Source organism: Homo sapiens, chromosome 5 (genome assembly GCF_000001405.40).
Source record: "Homo sapiens chromosome 5, GRCh38.p14 Primary Assembly".
Taxonomy (NCBI): domain Eukaryota; kingdom Metazoa; phylum Chordata; class Mammalia; order Primates; family Hominidae; genus Homo; species Homo sapiens.
The window spans coordinates 136,222,793-136,237,763 of record NC_000005.10 but is presented as its reverse complement, the minus strand read 5'-3'; the positions used below and the strand labels follow the sequence as shown (position 1 = coordinate 136,237,763).

The window sequence follows — 14,971 nt, the reverse complement described above, 5'->3', positions numbered from 1 at the left end:
TTAATTGAGCAATTAGTATGTGCCAGGCAGTAATTTATGCATTTCACAAGCATTCCATTAACTCATTCAATCCTCACAACAATTCTATGAAGTGGAGATTACTGTTTTCCCATTTTACAGCCAGAAACAAAGCAGCACAGAGAGATGAGGCTATTTGGCCAAAAACGTATACTCAAACCAGGTTTGCCTGGAGTCAGAACTTGCACCTCGATTGTTTCATCATCACCTGGACTCAACAACACTAGGATCAGGGAACAGGAAGTCAAAACATGCATTAGGGATTCATTCATTCGTTTATTCAGCTGACTTTGAATTTGTTGAATGCCTCCTGTGTACCAGGTTCTGATGAGGTTTGCAGTTTCGAAGATGAAGAAAACACAGCTTCTTCCCTCCAAGAGTTCCCAGGCTGCATGGGGTACAGTGAAACCCCTCAGTATAAATAAATCTAGGCTGCACAGGCTTTACATATCCCAGTTCTTGGCATCAGTTCTGTGGCCCCAGACTCTTCTACTTCTAGACTGTCTAAATCAAACTCCTTGTTGAGGACCCAAGGTAGAACTCAGAGGTGATTCGGAGGACAGAACTTTGCAGGGCCAAGGAAGGGATGAGTTCAGACTTTCTCAGGCATTTAACCATCCTCAAACCTGGTCCAACTGCTTTCAGTCTCTGGGTCTGGGCATTAGAGAAGCACAGCCTCTGAGAAGATCTTTATCCATTCTAAACATCTTCCTCCATCAGCCCAACTTGGATGATAGGTGAGCATTATTCTCCTTCAGCAGAACTCTAGCAGAGTGCCAGCTATTGTCCGCTGAGCTTGGGAAACAGCCTTTTTCAATTAAAGGCTGATCCTCCTGCTTAATTTTAGCCTGCTATATGATGATTTGATTAGGTAACTGAACTGAACTATTCAGTGGTAGGGGCTAGGAGTCCTGGCAGTGGGGAGAGAGAGATATGGCATTCTGAAGAAGCAGCAATTTTCCTGTCACCCTGAACCCTCTCCTTGTTGATCAGTTTGCTCTCTGAGGCCCGTATACAACTGCCTCTTCAGGCAACCTGTTATTAAAGTCCTGTTATCCAGCCGAGACAGACCTGGTGGAGAACTGATTACCTCGTCCCTGCTGTCTGCATGACAAATCAGCCCCAACCTTCCCACACACCCACATTCCCTCCCAGAGAAGGGTGAATCGTGGCCTATTCAACATCACTCATGGGCACTTTTCCTCCTTTACTTCATTAGGAGTGCTTCTTATGCTGGGGTGGCCTATTGACTAACTTCAGTCCCTTCCACTGCAGGCCCAGAGTCAAATATAAAAAGACAGCATGGGCTGGAATAATCAGAAAGAGTATTTGCATGAAATCAAGGGTCTGTGATGATCTTTGAAGATTAGAAGAAAAACAAGTCTTGTTCAGAAAACAAGCAGCTGAATTATTGACTCCATTCAACCCTGTGCAGAAGCACCTGAGGGGCTGAGGGGCTGTACGTATGCTGGGAAGGGCAGAGGCAAACAGAGCCTCCCTGCTTACAGTCTCATAGCATTCTCTTATCTTACTGGGCTTGCTTGTAGACTGGGACCTCCAAAAGCACAGAAACACATTTGATCTGGGCACCTGTGTATCCTCATCGCCTGGTACGGTGCCTGGCACATAGTTCAATAAATATATGAATCAAAATAATAGCTGCCATTTATTGGACTTTATATTTCACATAGGTTGCCCATTTAATCTTCATGTCAGCTGAACAATAGAAGCATCATTATGCCAATTTCATAGTTGGGTAAACTGAGACTCAAACAAGCTTTGTCCCATGCCCAAACTCATATAGCCACTACAAGGTGTTGCTGAGATTTGAACCCAGGCATGCACCCTGGATCTTCTCACTCCTCCAGCTCTGTGTCATCTCCTGTGATTGACACAGTTGAAGGAATCTGTGGCAAACTTTATAACTAGCTAGGGTGGATGGAAAGAGGTTGTAGAGCCAGTAGTTGCCATTCCTATCAGTAAAGAACCTCATATCTAGTCTTAAGACCAGCTAAGTGGGGCTTTCTGTGAGTCAAGCAGCTTTATGGCAAATAGTAACTAGCCTAATTCCAAGATATTTTCTTCCTGAAAGCCAGCCCCATTTCTCCCAAATGACTGGCTTTCCACCCCATGCCCTGGGTTCCAGAGCTCATGAAAATTGTGGATGATGATTAATATATAACTCAGAGAGCCTCATAACCTCATGGGGCATTAGAGCCAGCTCCAATACCTGAGCCCTTGGGATAACTGATTTACTATTGACTCATTCCAATGCTAGCCTTCTCTCTGAGAATATATTACTATGGGTGCCCAAGGTCAAGGCAACACAAGTCATTTCCCACTCAGGGTAGTGAGGTCAAGTTTCATTTATTTCCTGCCACATGTTAAGTTGGAAGATGACACTAGCATGGCATCGTAAGTTCATTGTAGAGCTCTAATCACCATAAAAAGCATCAAGTTTTCACTGAAAATTTTTTCCTTTTTTTCCTACCAGGACGTCTGTCATTTTCATATTGATTTATCAGCCCTTAGTGTAAGGATATCATCCATTGTTTGTCTTACGTTTGCAAATACCAATTCTTTTCTCAGTCTTCTGCCTTATGTTTTTACTTATTATGTTTTTCATGTGTACAAGTAAAGTTTTGTGTGGCCAAATCTCTCAAGCTTTGTAGTTTCTGAAACTTCCCCCAGCCCAGAATTATGTAATAAATTCTCACCAATACTTTATTCTAGTGTTTTTACCATGAATTTTTTTTTTAACATTTAACTCTTCAATTCCATTCAGAAGTTATTTAGTTATATGGTTTGAACTATGGATAAAATATTGTATTGCTTACAGTTTAGCCCAGATAATTGGACATAACTCTGCCCATAAGGTGCCCTCTAATAACAACAACAAAAACAGCAACAGAATTAGTCTATTCAGTTAGTCCACTTATCTTCATGACAAGAACATGTGGGTACAAATGAAAGACCCAAGAGCCTCAAATGGTGAATCTAGCCATATTGGGTGAATCAAACCAATAGGCCCACCTTTCTTTAAATGAAGATTTTATTACCTCATTCATTTTGCCCCATGAAAAGAGAAAGCAAGGGCCTTAACAGCTTAGAAGAGATCATTAGAAATGCATAGTTTAGGGCCAGGCGCGGTGGCTAATGCCTGTAATCCCAGCACCTTGGGAGGCCGAGGTGGGCAGATCATGAGGTCAGGAGTTCAAGACCAGCCTGGCCAACATGGTGAAACCCCGTCTCTACTAAAAATACAAAAATTAGCTGGGCACAGTGGCGCGCGCCTGTAATCCCAGCTACTCTGAAGGCTGAGGCAGGAGAATCACTTAAACCCAGGACGCGGAGGTTGCCGTGAGCCAAGATCGTGCCACTTGCACTCCAGCCTGGGCGACAAGAGTGAAACTCTGTCTCAGAAAAAAAAAAAAAGAAAAGAAATGTATAGTTTGTCTAAGACCCCGTCCTGCCTAGACAGGTGCAGCTGGTTTTTGCTGTGGAGGTGTGGCTCCCACTCTGGCAGTCCCAGTGAGTTTGGGCCTTTTGTAGAGCCTGTTGGAGAAATGGCCAAATCCAAGTCCAGGAGTTACTCCTTAAACCACAGAACAGAAATAAAACAGATGTGCAGTACTGAAGATTGTCTGGAAGACAGACAACAAATTGAACATATCAGCATTCCAGGCCAGGTTAATTGTCCTGAGCTGCGGGGGTCAGGTAAAGGAGAAACTAAGGCAAAGCCTCGAGATTTGTAAATATTACCTTGCTGGAACACATACTGCTTAATAAGCCAGGCCTGTTTCTTCAGATTATTGATATAGAATACCTAAGAGAAGGCACCAAGGATAAATCAGGGCTCAGTGGCAAAATTTATGGCAAGATGCAAATGAGAAAAAAATGGAAGCTGAATGTAGGCCCACGTTCCCTAATCAAAATTCAGAGGGTTTTCCCTGGATGTGTTCTGTAATCGCTCACTTCATTTGTGTCAGCCAAAGGTTTCTGGGTTGTTCCAAGGTAAGAAAGGGAAGATGAATTTGGGTAAAGCCTTTCTCTATGGCAAGTATGATCCATTCCTTTGTTGGTCCATGACAAGTGTATAATCCTAGATCAGCCCTTGTCTGCCCAGCCTCCCCTTCAGACACTGTTCTCCAGTTTTCACTGATCCTGCCAGGAAGGGAGCAACTCTAAGAGAGATCACGGCCTACTGTCTCCTTCCAGTTTGGAATTTAGGGTTCATCTGGTGGTTTTGAAATCTCTCTGCCACTGTTCCCTTCCACGAGTGTGATAACTGAAAGATTGTTCATAATGGGACACAGTACTGCAGTGAATCATGACACAGGGTGGATGACATCTTTTTCACACAAAATGCTGCATCTCACATGAGGAAAACAGTTCTCCCCCCTTCCAGAATAGCACCAGGAGCTGGAGCTCTGCAATAATGGCTTAATACCCTGTCGTTGCTTATAAACACCCAACTAAATTATTTCTCGCTAATGCTAAAATGAATTAAATGTTTCAAAATCACAGTTTTAAAAGAAACTAAAAACAAACACTGACAATAGAATCCCACTTCAAATATCAGTTTTTCAGACTCTGAAGAGTGTGCATAGGGAATGAGCCAAACAGCTGGGTAGACACACACACATGCACACGCACACACAGATACACATACACCCCCACACAATCACACTCGGGAGAGCTGTAAATTCATGCGAGTCAAGAGTTGGATTTTTAGCCCAAGTGACGAGTACCAGTATTTTTGTACATCTTGTCAAATAAATACCAATCCTTGAGAAATGCTGATATTTTTAAAGATCTAGCTAATCCTGGCCATTTGTGGGTGAGTGTTGAAAACCTGAAATGTTAAAGAGGAAAAAAAAAAGTGCTTTCTTACAGTGGTACCAAAAATCTGGATGAAAACTAAAAGAACTGCACTTAACCATTCAGATGTTACCAGATATACATGCATGGTCTAAACCTCCCAACCAAAATCCAGCTTTCTTATTCGATTCTAGGTCATCAGCCTGATACAGTGTCATGCCCATAGAGTATGGACTACGAAATGCACTTGGGTCTTATTCATAACACTACTGTATTTCAGTTACTTCGTAGTCTCAAAAGGGCCAAAGAGCAGTGTCGTTAAAGCTGAGACTAACCTGAACTGCCTTCAAGGCACATGCAGCATCTAACCTAAGTGAGCCGTAGGGTGAGGTTTGGGCAATCACCTGGTGATTTTGAACCATGTGGGCACACCAAAATCCCCACTCTCATTCTTGATAATTCAGCCCCAGTTTAGAAAGCTTAATACATGTGGCTAGCCTCAGCTCTGTAACAGGAGGTCATATGAGAGCCCGCCACAGAGCTGGTCATGAGGCTTAAGTGAGCTGCTCTTTGTCGAGTGCCTAGAAGTGTCAGACTCCAGGGATGCCATCCTCCTGTGTGGACACTGCCCACTTTCCAGGTGTCTGCCATCACTCCCCTTCACGTGGGCTGTGGAGTCTGAGAAGAAATGGTTAGGGCTTAATGGAAGGAAGAATGCACTTTCTGGGGCTCATAATGCACAAGAACAAACATTTACCCAGGTGTTTAATTTTAAATGTTTAAGTTAATTACAGTAAGAGAAAAGTGATACCACAGCCAGGAGTCCCAATAAATGGATTGAATAAAAAATAAAGAGCTTGCCATTTTTAATATTCTTTCAAAGTCTTCTTAGAAATCTGAATATCACATTATCTCAGAATGCAGGCATCACCAACCAGCCCAGCCCCACTCCAGGGTAACAACTGGGCACTCCAGGGTAAAGCATGACCAATGGCAACTTTCATTTTAAAAGTTCAAGCTGGCCAGATGCAGTGGCTTACATCTGTCATCCCAGCACTGTGGGAGGCTAAGATGGGATGATACCTTGAGCCCAGGAGTTCAAGACCAGCCTGGGCGACATAGTGGGATCCTATCCCTACAAAAAATGAAACAATTAGCCAGGTGCGGTGGTGCACAGCTGTAGTCCCACCTACTCAGGAGGCTAAGGCAGGAGAATTGCTTGAGTCCAGGAGGTCAGGGCTAGAGTGAGCCATGATTGAGCCACTGCACTCCAGCCTAGGCAACAGAGTGAGACCCTGTCTCAAGATAAATGAATGAATAAATAAAAGTTCAAGCTGATGCAAACTGCGTAAAAGGACCGTCTGTTTCTTTGCAGGGTTGAAGAAAGTTTTAAAACTTTGTTTTGGTCCATATTCGGCTTATCTGAAGTAATCTCAGTGGTGCTGAAATACGACCACAAATTCATCGAGAACATTGGCTACGTTCTCTACGGCGTTTATAACGTCACCATGGTGGTAGTGTTGCTCAACATGCTAATAGCCATGATAAACAACTCCTATCAGGAAATTGAGGTAAGGCCAGGTCACTGAAAATGCTTGCTCTCCTTCATCTAATTTACATTGCTTTTTTCAGCAATGAGGGGAATGATGTTAGAAGCCCATGTGTTGTTAAATGTGCAGCCAGAACAGCAAAGAACAGGCATTCTTCCTGGATTGCTTCTAGAAATAGAAGCAGTCAAAGTCAGTCTGCCCCATGGCATTGCTGGTACCACCATGAGGCCCAGCGAGAGCAGAAAGAACTGGGGTCATGAGTCTTCTCTCTTTTACACTTGTCTTCTCAGGACCTCGTGCAGATGACCCATGGCAATCAATCAGAATGACTTTCAGCCCCCAGGCCCCTTTCGCCTCTCACGTGTTATTTATTAAGTACCTACTGTATGCCAAATCCGCACTAGGCACTGGTGATACCAAGATGACTAAGACACAGTTCCTGCCTAGAGAAACTCATAGTCCAGTGAGGAGATCATACAGGGCAATCAACAAATTCCAATGCCCTGGGGCCAGTGCAACCAGGTTGTGGGGAGTGGTGTGGGGACAGAGACAGAGATTGACTATGGGGGAAGCTTCCAGAGGTGATGCTGGAAGGCCATTTAAAAACAGAACAATTTTGCCTGACAGATAAAGGGGTTGAGAGAATGTATCAGGAAGCAATTTATCAAAATCTAAAAGGCATGAACCATAAGCTATTGATTGCAGCTTGTTTGGAACAGCAAGAAATTAAAAACAAACTGAGCATTAATAGGAATCTAATTAAATAGACTACGATGCATCTGAAAAATGGGATGCTGTGCAATTCTATTTTAAGAAGGATAAATATGTTCTGTATATGCTGATGGGGAAAGACCTTCAAGTTACAGTGGTAGGAGGTAAAAATCAAGTTCCAGAACAATGTATATAGTGGGCTCTCTCTTGTGTAAGAGAGAAAGAAAAGGGAATGTGATTCATTTGTGATTGTATAAGCAAATGAAAAGAACAAACCTCTGAAAGGTCCACAAGAAAGACACCACGGGGTGCCTGTTGAGAGGTGGGAATAGGGGGCATGGTGGGTGGAATTCCTTTTTCTTTATACTTTTTATCCTTTATAAATCATGTTGTTGCTTTACCTTCTACATGATTAAATAAATAAGCTAAAGTTAAAATAAAAAGCACTGACCTATTGACTCAACAATTCCAATTCTGGGAATAGATCCAATATCATTTTACGTAGATGTTCGTTAAAGGAAAAACCTGGAAATAGTCCATTGATATGAGAATGTTTAAATAAACTGTGATATAGTCACACTTTAGAATAAGGTGTAGGATACTGTACATCCAGCATGAGAAAGACTGTTTTGTACTGACATGGGAAAATCCCTAACACATTATTAAGTGAAAAAATGCAAGTTATAGAAAAATACAAATAGGGGAATCTAATCTATGTAACAGTACAAATGCAAACATAGAGAAGAACTCCAAGGAGGCTACAGGGCTTTTGACCGGGCGTCCTCTGGGGAAGGGAATAAAAGGAGAGAAGATCTGAAATGGGACTTTCACATTTCCTGGTGCACCTCTGTCCTTAAATTATAAGAAACAATTGTTTATATACTTCTTATATAGAAAAAGTAAAGATCCCTGTGTATTAACTTGCTAGGGCTTTCCTAAAAAATACCACAGACTGTGTGGCTTAAACATTAGAAGTTTCTTCCCTCACAGTTCTAGAGGCCACAAGTCCAAGATCAACATCAGCAGGGTTGGCTCCTTCTGAGCCTCTCTGCTTGGCTTGCAGATGTCCACCTTCTTGCTGTGTCCTCACACAGCCTTGCCACCAGTCCAAGAAGATCGGGGCCCCATCCTCGTGACCTCATTTAACTTCAGTCACCTTTTAAAGGCTCCATCTCCAAATAGAAGCAAGTCACCTTCTAACTTGCTGGGGGTTAGGGCTTCTACATAGGAATTTAAGGGGGACACAATTCAGTCTATGATACCCTCCCCAAAAAAGAGTACTCTATGCAGTAGGGAGCACATGTACCAAGGCAGGGAGGGGTGAAGCAGTGTGGTATGCTCAGCGCTGCAAGAGCATAGATTGAGCGAGGAAAAAAGGCAAGAGGTGAGAGGAAGAGGTGAGCCTGGCCATGAAGCCTCAGCTGCTGCCCTCCAGAAAAATACAGCACATTGTGGATGGACAAACAACACATATATTTTTAAAGCATTTTACATACTTAATCACCAGTGTGGATAATGAGCTCTTGTCCACTAGTCCTTCCTGCCCTTCTGGGCCTCAGTTTCCCCATGTGTAAGAGAAAACCAGATGGTGCCTGGAAAAGCTGCAGGTCTCTGCACCACTCCCCCCGGCAATCTGCCATATCCTAACAGGCATGTAATGCTTTAGTTGAAATGACAGTAGCATGGGAAGCCTTGCAGTTGGCTGTGAGGGATGCCCACTAGCTGAGGGCAGGAGCAGGCAAGCCCACGGCATGTGATGTCAAGTTATCCCACCACGGAAAGGGGCCGCGACATGCAGAGAGTGTATTACAGCCCCACACCTCCCTCTGGGCTCTGGACTTCTGTCTTACTGGACCATGGAAGGTACCACTGGAAAATGCCAGGCGTTCATGATCACATGTAGTTTTGATGATGCAAATATTTGTAAACCCTTCCATGAGGACACTAATTTATTGGGTCAGTAGATCTTAAGCCCCTGCTGTCCAAATCCACAACTCACCTGCACCTGCCTCTCCATTCAACTCCCCCCACCCCAGCCCCCTGCCTCTGCAAGCAGCACAGCCTTCTCCAGCAGAGAGCTCTGCCCTGCTCCATTCTGCTCATCCCGCCTCCCCAGCAGCCGCCACTGCACGGCACCCTGCCTGCTTGCGTCTTCACCCCTCTCTTGCTACCTAATCCTTCCTGTCAGCATTTAAATAAGTCACTTGATCTTAAAAAAAAAAAAAAAGGAACTATAAAAAATCCTCCCTCTAGCTTACTTTCCAGCTCCCAACCTTTCTCCCCTGCTCCTTACTGCCGGCATCCTCAAGTTATTTACACTTCTCGCTGCCTCTTCCACAAGTTAATTCTTACAAATTCCCTACCCCCCACCCCACCCACTCTTGACCTTGTTGAGAACTGCTCACTCCTCGGATCTGAGCCCAAACACCAGCCAGCCTTCCCTGACCCCCAGACTGGGTCAGTGGCCTCAGCACCTAGACCCTCCTCCAGCTCTGGGTACAACAATAAGTAAAAGACTAACTAACTAGCTGTTGAATAGCTGATTATAACCCTGTACTCTTGTGGGCCTCTCCTGGGCCCTTGCTGGGTTCACATCATCGGCCAGACTGTGTGTTCCACCACGGCATGGATCGTCATGCCCAGGGCCTCCCTAGCACATGCCAAGTACATAGCAGGTGCTCCATCAATGCTAAGTGACTGAAGGTTGACTACCAGGCCTATGCTAGGCTATGGAGATGCAAATCACATTTATTGAGGGCTTACTAAATGTCTGGCACTGTTCCGTGTCATCTATGCATTAACTCCTTTAATTCTCACAGCCTATTCGATAGGTATTGCTATGCTTATATTACAGATGAGGAAACTAAGGCCCAGAGTGGTCCATCACCTGCCATGGTTGCATAGCTAGTAAGGAGCAGAGCCAGGATTTAAACCCACACAGGCTGCAGAACCCATGTGCTTTGCACTATACCACACTTCCTCTCAGGACGGATGTCCCTGTTACAACTCTCTTGTACAGCGAGACCAGGAGTAAGCCCTGCCCTCACAAAGCTTCCAACCTAAAAGATCCTTATAGGATGTCCCCAAGTAGACCAGGACCAGTGTTGATCCTCAACAAAAGCAAAGTGGTCAACCCTGCTGATTATAACCCTATACTCTTGTGGTATATCCCAGCAGCCTCTCCTGGGCCCTTGCTGGGTTCACAGCCCCTCAGAGTGTAGTCACTGCCTGTGGAAAGAGGAACCCACTGCTCAGGGAGCACACATGCACTACCGACCTCAGGGCTATGTGAGGGAAGCAGTTTTATCTCCATAAGCTCAAGACACCTGCCTAAAGTTACACAGCTAATAAGGGGTTTTGAGCCCAGGTCCATCTGTTTACAAACCCCATGCCTCTTTCCTGGTCTCAAACTGCCCTCCTAGGACAGAGGTTCAAGGAACCTGTCTAGACAAAATACACCTGCTACTCTCAGGGGCCCACTTAGCATTCTGGCATTGACACAATGTCAGAAAGAACAGAACCTGGGTTTAAGTCTACCCCAGAAGAGAACACAACTGGATCACCTCCTACAAACTACACTCAGGCTTTGCTCCCCTTGAATTACATATGCAAGATCTATAAACATCCTCCCTGGCAGCACTCTGACCAATAAGAAATATACTGTCTAATAAATATACTGTGCTGTCCAGTGTGGTAGCCACTAACCACATACGCCTATCAAGCACTTAAAATGTGGCTGGTCTAAATAGATGTGCTGTAAGGATAAAATTCACACTGGAGTTTGAAGACCTAGTATGAAAACAATACGGTAAGCTATCTTAATATTGTTTTATAATGCTTACATGTTGAAATGATATTTTTGATCTACTGCATTAAATATATTACTAAAATTAATTTCACCTGTTCAATTTTACTTTTTAGAATGGGGCTAGTAGAAAATTGAAACTTACCTATGTGGCTCATCTTTTTGGCTCACAATGTATTTCTAGTGAGCAGCACTTCTTTAGAGATTAATAAGTACAATAATGCTGTGGTGGCTGGTGAATCAGCTAGCAGAGCTATAAAAATTAATGAATAACAATATTAAGTGGCAGTGAGAAAAGTTCTTTGGTTAGCTGCAAATGGAGAATGTTGGTAAATATACCCAGTGGAGGGTAGGGGCGGTTAATATGAACTGGTCGAGGCTTTTCAGCCATGAGTCCAAAGAAGACAGGCAGAAAGTGACCATTGTGCATGGTTTTAGTGAGAGCAAACTCCCCTTCTCTGTGCCATCTGTAGAAAAACTACACCAAGTCCTGCTTAGAAGTCTGCTTTCCGAATGTTGGGGCTGTGTCTCTGCTCCTCAGGTTGGGCTCCGTTGTTAAATCGTGGCCTTTGAGGGTGTGTTGTTGTTTCCCTTGTTCCACAGGAGGATGCAGATGTGGAATGGAAGTTCGCCCGAGCAAAACTCTGGCTGTCTTACTTTGATGAAGGAAGAACTCTACCTGCTCCTTTTAATCTAGTGCCAAGTCCTAAATCATTTTATTATCTCATAATGAGAATCAAGATGTGCCTCATAAAACTCTGCAAATCTAAGGCCAAAAGCTGTGAAAATGACCTTGAAATGGGCATGCTGAATTCCAAATTCAAGGTAGGTAGCATGTGGTTTATGAGGCTGGAGAAGGCAGCAGGAGGGGGCAGGCGAGTCTAGAGTGTGTTTGAGTCATATGGCTGCCCTCCCCCACCCCATGCAAGGGGAGCCAGGAGCTGGGAGGGCCGGTACTCTGTAGAGTCTACCTGGACACATCTGAAAGCTCCAATGCCAGCAGAGGCTACTGTGATACCCTCCTTTCTCCTTGCAACCCCTTGGAGAGGTGCCCTGCTGGGGACATAGTAAGCTGCCTGGCTAAGCCATGACCCCAGTGAAGGGAACCCCTTAGTGGACTTGGAAATGGAACAGCTTTTCTCAGAAAGTATCTGGAAAATGATCTCTGAGAAAAAGGTTTCCTTCCCACTGTCTGGCTTTCCTGGGGATTCTCAGTGTTTATTAGTATGTTAAAACCCCTGGAGAAAAGACATCCATGTAACCTTAATTCAGTGCTTTCCAACCAAGTTGACTAAATATTCTGTAACCCTTATTAACATCCTACAGAGCTAAAGGTCCTAGGAACAATGTTCTAGGAAGCCAAGCAGCACCAGGTAAATCAGCTTTCAAAAGCTGCTTCACTGAGACAGCCCCGTATATGGATACTGTTCAAGTCCTACGAGATATGTAGGGATGCATGTATGTTTTTCTGTGTGATGTGTGTGGGTTTGTTTGTTTTATCCAGAAGACTCGCTACCAGGCTGGCATGAGGAATTCTGAAAATCTGACAGCAAATAACACTTTGAGCAAGCCCACCAGATACCAGGTAACCACCCCTTTCCCAAGCATCCAAGCATGGGCAGAAGTAGACTCCACTAAGACACAGATTTAGTCCCATGACTGTGTCATCCCCCGAGAACACAGCTTCATTCCTTCCTTTATTGTACAAATATTTATTGAGTACTTACTATATGTCAGGCACTGTGCTACTTCCTGGGGATACAGATACAGATGTGGTTCCTCCCTCAGTGGCACCTCCAGTCTAGTGATGATGGACAATAAACAAGTCAACACACAGATAAGTGTATGCCCTCAAACTGGTAATAGTGACAAAAAGCAAACAGGAGGACTCAAAAACAGAGAAAAATAGGGAGCTTCAGCCTAGATATAGTTTTCAGAGAGGACATCTTCAAGGAGAGAACAGTCAGCCGAGACCACTCGGATGCAGGAGGCAGCCATATATGGCCTTCCAGGCAGAGGAAGAGAAGGGTGGCAGGTCCAGGGCAGCTGGGCCCTGTGGAAGCAGAGGGTGGAGGGAGTGAGGTCAGAGGGCCAGACCACTGTCAGGATGGGGGAGAGGGTAACTTTGCCCAGGAGGGGAGATGATGAAATTGTATTCGCGCTTTAAGAAAACCACCTAACTGCTATAATGAGAAGAGACAGGTGGGGACAAGAGTAAAAGCAGGGATACCAGTGAGGAGGATGTGACAGTCATTCAGGTACAAGGCATGGTTGCTTGGATTGGGGTACGAGCAGGGTGATAGAGAAAAGCAGACAGATGCTATACACTTTCTGGATATATAGCTGCTGGGCACATATGGGGAGGGCGAGGCACACCCAGCATGGCTCACAGGTTTCTGTCTTAAGCAGTCAAGTAGATATAGGTGTCTTCAGACTTGGACTGCCAGCCTGCCAAGTCTGTTGTCAGAAAAATTAGAAAAAGAACTTTTATGCTTCCAATCCTTGCATTGCTTTTGGAAATGAATGCCAGATCTCTGTATCCGTTTGGATCAGCCCATGCGCCAGTGATAAACGATAGCTACAGATGATCAATTATAAAAGGGCAGGCCACTCCTTTCCTGTCTTCCACTTCTCGATGATCAGCAGTTTCACCTATGCTGATCATTTCTTATCAGATGTAAATTTTAAGCTGTCCTGAGCATTCCTTTGGGTGGAGGTGATGTGCCCCTGGTGCCACCTTCCCACAGGGAGAATTACAGACTTAGATCTTTTAGATACAGGTCTCTAACTGAATCTCTCCAACCATATTTCAGAAGCCAGCTGTGCAGTTAGGAGAATTTAATTGCACAATTAAGAAATGGCTCATCCCTCAAAGAGCTTATAGTTCTATCAGATGACAGGCGAAAAATTAGCAATGGGCAAATCTTGTGTTTAATCGCGCACAAAATTGGCACTGACTGGTTTGATCTGCTTTGAGCTATTTTACAGACCAAAGCCTTTGGTCAGTGAAAGTATTTTTATTTCTCAGCTTTTCAGAGAGAAGTATAGATTATCTGTGTCACAGAAAAGATAGATACCCAATGGGTTAGGGCCAAATCTCTCCTAGGTTTTGAGCAGAATTAGCTCCTGAGATAAAGGAAGATCAATTCTGTGTGAATGTCCCATTCCAGAATGAATCCTTTCTGAAAGAGACCATTTTCTTTTCTTTTTTTACTTTTTTTTTTTACTTTATTTATTTATTGATTTTAGACAGATTTCACTCTTGTTGCCCAGGCTGGTGTGCAATCGTGCGATCTCGGCTCGCTGCAACCTCCGCCTCCCAGGTTCAAGTGATTCTCTTGTCTCAGCCTCCCGAGTAGCTGGGATTACAGGCATGCGCCACCATGCCTGGCTAATTTTGTATTTTTAGTAGAGATGGGGTTTCACCATGTTGGTCAGGCTGGTCTCAAACTCCCGACCTCAGGTGATCCACCTGCCTCGGCCTCCCAAAGTGCTGGGATTACAGGCATGAGCCACCACGCCTAGCAGGAGACCATTTTCAAAAGCAGTCTCAAAGCAGTCCCATCTCTGTCTTCCGTCCTCGCTGGTTGAGTCCATACTGCCTTGAATCTCCCCAGGAACTTCCTGCTGTGATTACAGAGATTGGTCATCTACAGCTTCAGGCAACTGATGACCTTGGAAAGCTTTGCTCATTTTGTAATTTGTGACTCCACAGAAGAAGCCTGAGGTGACTTATTCAAATAGTTGTCACAGAAAAGAAACAAAAAGCCAGCCAGTAGGCATCAGAGGAAAGGGGCTGAGAGAAAGCAGTCTTTGCACATTGGCTCTTGGCTCCACCCTGCTAGGCTGTGTGGCATCGTCCTGAGTCATCATCTGCTCACAATTGGAGTAAACCCTGAGATGTCACTAAAAGATACCTGGATGCAGGCTGGACACTAGCTCACGTGTACTCTCCCATATTCCTTGGAGATGGGCACTGTCTTCAACCCCATGTAACAGATGAGGGAATTGAGGCTCAGTGGCCAAGGCCACACAAGTGACTGAATTGAGATCTCTCTGACTCAGA

General features: G+C 44.5%; 1 protein-coding gene and 1 long non-coding RNA gene across 5 annotated transcripts in view; one reads left to right on the top strand and one right to left on the bottom strand.

Annotated features, from left to right (window-relative positions):
• Nucleotides 1–11,109, bottom strand: part of TRPC7-AS2 (TRPC7 antisense RNA 2) — an 89,446-nt gene extending 78,337 nt beyond the window's left edge. The window contains exon 1 of the long non-coding RNA NR_133682.1: nt 11,051–11,109. This is a non-coding gene — a long non-coding RNA (TRPC7 antisense RNA 2). The remainder of the gene's footprint in view (nt 1–11,050) is intronic.
• The window catches only part of TRPC7 (transient receptor potential cation channel subfamily C member 7), a 152,801-nt gene that overhangs the window by 127,782 nt on the left and 10,048 nt on the right, over nt 1–14,971 (top strand). For all 4 annotated transcript variants that reach the window (NM_001167576.2, NM_001167577.2, NM_001376901.1 and 1 more), the window contains 3 exons: nt 6,215–6,410; nt 11,509–11,730; nt 12,410–12,490. In NM_001167576.2, the coding sequence (NP_001161048.1) occupies nt 6,215–6,410; nt 11,509–11,730; nt 12,410–12,490 (499 nt within the window). The remainder of the gene's footprint in view (nt 1–6,214; nt 6,411–11,508; nt 11,731–12,409; nt 12,491–14,971) is intronic.